The sequence below is a fragment of the Homo sapiens genome, chromosome 2, assembly GCF_000001405.40.
Source record: "Homo sapiens chromosome 2, GRCh38.p14 Primary Assembly".
In the NCBI taxonomy this organism is placed as follows: domain Eukaryota; kingdom Metazoa; phylum Chordata; class Mammalia; order Primates; family Hominidae; genus Homo; species Homo sapiens.
In genome coordinates this window covers 71,740,176-71,748,894 of record NC_000002.12, presented here as the reverse complement: position 1 = coordinate 71,748,894, position 8,719 = coordinate 71,740,176, and the positions used below count along the sequence as shown (strand labels likewise).

General features: G+C 48.7%; 1 long non-coding RNA gene across 1 annotated transcript in view; it reads right to left on the bottom strand.

The window, feature by feature from the left end:
* Positions 1–5,113: 5,113 nt before the first annotated feature.
* LOC124907827 (uncharacterized) overlaps positions 5,114–8,719 on the bottom strand; it is a 47,724-nt gene continuing 44,118 nt past the window's right edge. The window contains exon 2 of the long non-coding RNA XR_007086966.1: positions 5,114–6,191. This is a non-coding gene — a long non-coding RNA (uncharacterized LOC124907827). The remainder of the gene's footprint in view (positions 6,192–8,719) is intronic.

The following is an 8,719-nucleotide window of genomic DNA, read 5'->3' as shown; positions in this document are numbered from 1 at the left end:
TTCCAAGTGGTGTACATTTCCTACCAAGACCCTTCAGGCAAGTTTTAACCAAAATCTAGCAGAAAGACCTTCTCAGATTAAGAGATAATTCTCAACCCACTAAAATCTGATTCAGGAATCTACTAATGATTCTTATTCTTCATTGGGAAGAATGATATTACTCATAATAAAAGGGTATGTTTGGGATGCGGGTGGGGGGTATGCACAGGGGAGCGGACATCTGAAAATAGAGTTAAGAATTCTAGAAATGCATGAAGTTCCCGAACCATGTCTCCTATCACATGACCCACATGGAAAATTGGACCAAAGCAGAGAGACACAGCTTCCCCTGGGAGGCGGGAAGGCTGGAAAGCAGAGGGCCGAGCATCCCTGGGAATGGCGATTCCCTTGGACGTGCGGTTTCATGAATGAGCCAGGTTGCCTGCTCTGGGAAGAGCCTCTGAGGCCCCAGAGGTCATAGGGGCAGCCAACCCTGGCCACAGCAGGCCATTTCCTGCTTTGGCCACACTCCCTTCCCCAGCCACTGCTGACTCCAAGCATTACATGACTCAGCACCCAGAGCCACTGACCAGTGAGTTTATCAGCAACCCTGGGAAGGCCTAGGTACCCAGAAGTCCCCAAGTTCACTAATACCCACTGGCTACCTGTGAAATGATGCCCTTGTCCTGTTGGAGAAAATGCAGCCCTGCCCTCAGTGGGGGCCTGTCCTGTGGCCACACTGTTGGCCATCACAGCTGGGCACTCAACAGATATTCATCACATAACCACAGCAGCCAGGACTCCATGGGGGAGCCAGGCCTATGGTCCTTTCTCTAGCTATGAGTCTGACCATCATTTAGTCATTCAACAAATGCAGCTGAAGCCTACTCTGCACCAGGCACTGGTAGCATATGGTGTGCAAAGATAAATAATAATGGCTACCATTCAGAGAGCATTGCTGGGTCCCTGGCACTCTTCTAAGCACGCTACATGTGTTAGCCCTTGTAAGCCTGACAGCTACCGTGTAAGATAGGTATTATTATATTATTCATATCATCTTTATTTTACTGGAGACTGAGGTACAGAAAGGTTAGGTAATTTGCCCAAGGCCACATAGCAAAGTGACAGAACAGGTTTTGAAACCAGATCATCTGGTTCGAGTTCAAGCTCTGAGCACAGCATATCTTACTTCTCCAGGAACAGGTCTCTCTCTCAAGAGTTCATCCCCGAGACAGTCAGACAAGGAATCAAAGAATTAGAATACTGAGCACCCTGAGCCAAAAATACTAACTCTGCAGGGCCCTGGTGCCTGAAATGGGTGTCAACATAGGGTTGCCAGGGCCACCAGGCCCTTCAGCAGTCTGTGAAAAATATCAGAGGGATAGAGCTTGGTAGGAAGTGGCAGACTCTCCACAGCTGTAATCTAGAAACAGGTGAGCCATGAGTCTGGAGAGGAAGGCTGAGGCCTGAGTCGAAGCCCTCAGTGCCAGTCAGGGATCTGTGGGCTCTGCTCTGCCTTGTGGGCAACGGTAAGCCACTGACAGTTTCGAGCAAGGCAGTAACATAACATCCCCATACAAAGAGAGGCCCTGGCATAGAGGGGGTGGGGCATCTGTGGCTAGCTGTGGCTGAGGACCTAGTGGCTGGCTTCCCCGGGGCCTGGCCTGGCCTTTGCCTGCCCTGGGCCCAGGGCGGGGCTGGGGGAGCCGGCTGGCTGTCTCCAGATGATTAAGGAACTGGCAGCAGCTCCGTGGTCCAGGGAGGCTCCAGCCAGCAATGCAGTCTTCCCTCTTTTCTTTTTGGCACCAGGCGGGCCTATTGATGTTTATCAGCCCGTGTTTATTATTCTTAACGCTGTTCAGGATGTTCCTCCCGGCTGGGGAGAGTGAGGCAGGCCAGGGAGAGAGCCTGGGGCCGGGACCTTGGCCTCGCTGCCACCCAGGGTGTGTGTCAGAGCTGGAAGGCTCACAGCTCAGCCAGCTCAGCAGCCTCATTGACAGATAAAGAAGTTGAGGCCACAGAATGGGAGTGATTTGCCCAAGATCACAAGCAAATTAGGTGCAGGGGATTCTCTGCAAAGAGAACTTAGAGAGCTTGAACTCAGCTCTCTCAGTTCCTATGGCCCCTGAGCAGTGTCTGGTGTTTGGTTCAACACTTACGGCGTGCCTGTTACGTGGGCGTGCTCTGGAAGACCAGGTAGGAGTTACCCAGAGGATGAAGGCTGAAATGGGGGTAGGAAGTTGGTAGAAAGGGCAGAGAAAACAGCCTGGGCAAGAACTGGGAATATGTAGATCCTTCCAGAGTTGGATATATCTAAAAAACAGGGTGAAGATGGGCCGAGGCAGAAAACATGGCTGGAAAAACCAGTAGTACCGACTTTTTTCCAAACTGGAGAACCCCCTGAGAGCCCTCGCTGTTCAGGTGCAGTGTGCAGAGGCAATGCGACCAGCCTGCTTCCTTCCTCGAGCATTATTTATACTCAAGCTCATGGCTGCTGCCTCAAATCCCACCTCTAGAACTGTATTTCTCAAACACTCATTCCCCTACTTATGCAATTGACCCCTACTAGGATAGGAGAAAAGATGGACTGGTGGTTGTATCTGCTCACTGGGAGACTGCGTGTCTCCCTCCAGAGTAACTGTTTGATGGGTATTTTAGCTCATTTGTGCTGCTAAAACAGAATACCTGAGACTGGAACATTTATAAAGAACAGAAATGTATTTCTCACAGTTCTGAAGGCTGCACAGTCTGAGATCAAGGTGTCAGCATCTTGGTAAGACCTTCTTGCTGTGTCCTTACATGGCACAAGGCAGAAGAAGTGAACCCACATGCACTTCATATAGCAGCATGACTCCATTGGTAAGAGTGATGCCCTCATGACCTAAACAACTCCCATTAGGCCCCACCTCTTAATACTGTTACAATGGCAACTGAATTCCAACATGAGTTTTGAGGGGAATAAACATTCAAGCCCATTCAAGCAATGGGCAGTGGCAGCAGCTTAGGCTGAGACCTGGCTCAGGAGGGTCATGGTGGGGAGGTAATGTCCCTCTGGAACCTAAGGCTGAAGATTCCATGCCAAGGGCTACAGCCCAAGACATCAGCCTGAATAACCCCTCTAGGTTGAATCTAAGCCTCCCGGTCTCTCCCACCCTACAGAGGATGAGGCCTTCCACTCCCTGAGCTAAATATGGTGACACTTCAGCCCCAGCATTAATCGAGGTCCCAGGACTAGGGGGACATTCTTCCAGCTTCTGTCCCTCCTCTTCTCCCAGTCCACCTTCTCCCAGGTTCCCAGTGAACTTTCCCAGAGTTTATCTCCTCCAGGAAGTCCTCCCAAAGTGGATCCTCTTGATGCTGAAAACTTAAGTGGTGAAGACTCAAGAGTCAAGCACAGAGTTTGCCTCATATTTATCCAAACTTGTCTCTCTTCTGTTTATGGCCTTTAGCCGGGTGTGCTCTCCCTCCCTGATCAGTGAGCACCCTTAGCCCCACTGAGATGGATGAGCCTGTAGTAATTCCACTCTGGGTCCTTCTCAGCCCTTTCTGAGCCTGCGAGAAGTTGAAACAGGATCAGCGATGCACCTGGATGACCTGCTGACTTGAATAAGTCCCAAGAAGGTGATTCTAAGCCCTGGGATTCTGAGACCCAAACCTGTTATCACCAAGGCTGAGGTCTCTTTGTCCCTGCAATAGATTCTATGCCCCACATACTAGATGGGAGGCAGATAACTATCTGCAAAAATAAACAATAAACAGAACTGGAAAACAGTGAGGCTGGCAATACCTGGAGAGAGAGTTTGTAGGCAACACTGGCTGAATGAGAGGGAGCTTGAGCAGCCCAGGGCTCCTGAACATCAGGAGGAGGGGCAGTGGCAAGAGGAGACAGCTGAGGGAACTGCCGAGCATGAAAGGCTCACTAGTGAGCATGGACTGGGAGTCAGGAACCTGGGATTCTAGGGCTGCCTCTCACCAACACGGGGGACTGCAGGTCGAGCCCTTGCCTCCAAGGACCTCATCAGTACAGTGAAGATGTTGGTCCAAAGCACTCCTGTGACGCTTCTCAGGTCTGAGTGTCGCGATTTCATTCTGCTTCAATGCTCATGCTCTGTGATTGCAGTGCACATGGAAACACACCTGGGGGGATGCATTTCCAGCCTCGATATCTCAGAACCAGGACCCTGGAAACACAATAAATGTTCCTGACCTTCCTGCAGTGTCTGAAATGCCCAGCATAGATCAGGGTAGAAGAGTGAAGTTTCCCTAACAGCTGAGGTAGCAAAGATCAAACAGCTGACCCACGCACAGAGCTTCCATTAGTCCTCTGTGTGTAAGGCCAGTCATTAGTTAGGGCCAGAAGAAGGCAATGAAAATAGGGCACAGTTCAGAGCAGGGAAGCAGATGCAGCACACATTCCTGTCTGTGCCAAGAGCTGTCATGCAGGCAGGATTGATTCATCACTTCATTCATCTCTTCAGCCATTCATATCATTCACTCCTTGAGCTCTCCCCAGCTGTCATTTGCAGGCCAGGTTCTGTGCAGCCAGGAAGGATTAGATGAGTAAGATGGCCCCTGCCTGAAGGAGTGCATGGCCAGGGTGGGGACACAGATGAGTACGAGCAGTTAGGGGCCACCAAGGCTTCGGGAGGCTAAGGGAAGTGTCTGCATGGGCAGGGACTCTGAGGAAGGAGCATGCAGAAGGAGGCGCCAGCCCCTGGCCTTGAGCCGTGAACAAGAGAGAAGGAATAGCACCACCAGGCCTGCATTTGGGGTCTGAAGAGAGTGGACTTGAGCCAGAAGATCAGGGGAGGCCACCAAAGGGTTGGGAGTGCAATGTGCTCAGACCTATGCTATCGGGTGAAGGATGTCAGTGTCCTGAGCCAGGGCAGGGGTGGCAGGGGTGGGAGGGGTGGCAGGGGTGGGAGGGGTGGGGACCAAGGAAGAGAAGTTGGGGAGAGCAAAGGTCATTGCTGCAGGAAGTAGGGGTGATGTGGGGTATCAACCTAGACACACATTTTTCTGGCCTGAACAACTAGGGAGGTGGTGTTGACCACACACGAGTGGGTTTAGGGGGAGATGATGAGTTCAGCCTTCTCAGAACCACACACAGTTGTATTTTCTTCAAGCACAAAGGTTTTATCAACAGTCCACACGATTTATTGTTCCATCCATCTGCATCTATTATCCTTTAGATTCTGAGTCCTTTATAATCAGAGACAGAGAAGAGCACAGAGACAAGGGGAACAACCCAGAGGGAGAGACCAGCAGAGCCAACTTTTCTCTTCTCTTCTCTTTCCTTCTTCCCTTAGACCATGCCGCTCATGGCTGTGAGCTCATCCCATGGGCTTGCACGGTCCTGAGTCTACTCCCCCACCTCATTCTGACAGCGGTCCTGGAAGGTTTGTGAAATGGAGGCCTCAGGAGGAGTCGTAACTCGTCAGAGGTCACACTTCTCAGGCACTAAACGTTTCCTGATGTCAGTGGGGCCACCGAGACAGGCGGTTCTGCCTCCCCTGGTCGCCATCAAAAGTATCAGGGGCAGGGGATGGTGGAGTGGCCCCCAGGGCCTGGGAAACAGCAAGACTCCTCCTGGCCCATGGAACTGGGTGGCCAGGGGATGCCTCTGGTGGATGTAGCAGGGGTCTCCTCCCCACATGAAAGTTTGAGAATATGAAAAAAATGTCAGGTCTGAATTCCTGTGGAAGGGCCTCCTGACCTTCTCTACTGTGGTGTGGTTTGAGTTTCCTGGAAACCAAGCCCCCGACTAATGGTTCCACTCTCTTTTCTAATAAATACGTGGCCCTGGGCCCGGCTCCCTTCTCTGCTTTGTCATGAGGGACCCGTTATTTATGACTTGGAGATGAGTCACAGGCCTTGGCAAGGAGTTCACTGCTCTGGGCTCAGTGTATTTTTCCACTCAGTAGCAAGCGAAGGAGGGCGCTTGTAAATTCTCCTGTCGAAACGACTCCGTAGGTGTCTTCACAGGGATGCTCCTCCTAGCTTGGCCATAAATCTATTCCCTGTTGGACATTCCTGGTGGTCTTTCGTTGCTGCCCAGGAGAGTGGGTGGGGGCTCTTATGGACTCTGGACTCAGCTCCCATCCCAGCTCACAGGCCACACAAACAAAACTGCCATATCTTCTTTGGGGATTTTTCCAAGATACCTTGGGGCACAGTGAGTTGGGGAGATGGAGGGGTCAGGTCAGTGAGTCCTAGAGAAGAAAAAGGGTGGAACATGAGAAAAAAAGGCAACACGATATAGGGGCTTCTAGAACTCCCCATGACCCACAGAGCCCAGTCTGCATTCCCCAACTGGGCACTCCTGACTCTCTGTGTTAGGGCCAACCCTCACCTAGCCCAGGACTGTCCTGGACACCCTGTGTTTACTCCCTGCTTTGCTCCAGATCTTCTTCACACCTAAAATACCCTTCCCTCCCTCCCATCCACTCTCAGAGCCTCTACTCAAGGACTATGCTGTTATTCATCAGGCAGTGTTGTAGATAATTTCTTATTTCCTACTCATTTGTCTTATTTCCTCAAGTAGATTATGAGCTCCCGAGCAGGAAATCTCATGTCTCTTTTCATCAACTACATGATGACCACGGACTTTGGGGTGGGGGATTAGGGAAGAGGTGTCAAGAACTGTGAAGGAGCTCAGATTCTGTCCTTCTTGCAAGCCAGCAAGCTAGCTGCCACTGTTTCATGGATGCTGGCAGAAGACACAAGACTCCTGGGTCAGAGACAAAGGATAGTTCATTACTCACAAAAATAAGCAGTAACCAGAGAATCAACATTGGCACCAGTCCCGTGAATCCTAATTCCTACAGGGTAATGTAAAGAAGGCCAGGTGATGCCTGCACACACAGTGGGTTGCATTACAGGAGAGAAGGGATCTCTAGCTTAGGCATCCTGAATCTTTTATAATAGGCATAATAATGCCTAAATTTTGATCCAGAGGAAGGCCTTGTCTTTATTATATTGGATAGTAAACAAAGGTGTCCTTTGCTCCAGAGGGAGATACCTTTATCTTCTCAAACTATTAACTAAGCAAACAACCTTGAAAAGGTAGTCAGGAATAAAAGGAGCCTGTGCTTTTCCTGGCAAGATGTGCAGAAACATGACAGACCCATGGAAAACTGTCTCCCACAGGGCACTTCATTAATTTTTTTTATTCATCTCATAATGACCATCTCCAGCATTATCCAAAAACCTTGTCATAGCACACCAGCACAGTGATTCCTAACTCTGGATTGCACATCAGACTCTTGGTGAGGTTTAGGGCAAGGGTGGAGGATGTACCTTATTTGTAAAATCATATTGCAGCAAGCTCTCTTGGTCCCCTGTCCAAAGCCCCTCAATACTTCCTCCACAGACCAAAGACTGCCTGCTATACAAACCTGTGACTCTGCTTGTGCATGGGACAAGCCAGAACACTGGAGAATTAATGCTCCCAGAGGTAGCCCTCAGAAAAAGAAAGATGGGAAGATGGAAGATAAATATCCCAGCTTCCTTCCTCCTGGCTTGGAAAACTCTGTCTTCCATAGTTTCCCATAGATGGAGCCCCAGTTGCCCACATTGATAGCTACTTGATAATACTCCTTTTATCGGCTTCTTCTCTTCTTTGTCTCTCTTCTTCCCTCCCCCCGGTGCTTTGGGGGTTACTTTCCTGCTTGCATTTAAATCCTTGTCTCAGTGACTATTTCTAGGGATCCCACCTAAGATACTTAACTAGCATCATGATGCGCTATGTTTGAAAATGGATTTTACATTTCAGTCTTTAATCCATATTGAGTTGATTTTTGTATATGGTGTAAGGAAGAGGTACAGGTTCAATTTTCTGCATATGGCTAGCGAGTGTTTTCAGCACCATTTATTAAATAGGGAATCCTCTCCCCATTACTTGTTTTTGTCAGGTTTGTCGAAGATCAGATGGTTGTAGGTGTGAAGTCTTATTTCTGAGATCTCTATTCTGTTCCATTGGTCTATATGTCTGTTTTTGTACCAATAGCATGCTGTTTTGGTTACCGTACCTTTGTCGTATAGTTTGAAGTCAGGTAGTATGATGCCTCCATCTTTGTTCTTTCTGCTTAGGATTGTCTTGGCTACTCAGGCTCTTTTTTGCTTCCATATGAATTTTTAAATACTTTTTTTCTAATTCCGTGAAGAATGTCAATGGTCATTTAATGTGAATATCATTGAATCTATAAATTGCTTTAGGCAGTATGGCCATTTTCACTATATTGATTCTTCCTATCCATGAGCATGAAATGTTTTTCCATTTGTTTGTGTCATCTCTGATTTCCTTGAGCAGTGCTTTGTAGTTCTCTTTGAAAAGGTCCTTCATTTCCCTTGTTAGCTGTGTGCTTAGGTGTGTGTGTGGCAATTATGAATGGGAGTTCATTCATGATTTGGCTCTCGGCTTGCATGTTGTTGGTGTATAGGAATGCCAGTGATTTCTGCACATTGATTTTGTATCCTGAGACTTTGCTGAAGTTGTTTATCAGCTTAAGAAACTTTTGGGCTGAGACAATGGGATTTTCTAAATATAGGATCATGTAATCTACAAACAAAGATAGTTTGATTTCCTTTCTTCCTGTGTGAATACCATTTATTTCTTTCTCACCTGGTTGCCCTGGCCAGAACTTCCAATACTATGTTGAATAGGAGTGGTGACAGATGGCATCCTTGCCTTATGCCTATTTTCAAGGGGAATGCTTCCAGCTTTTGCCCATTCAGTATG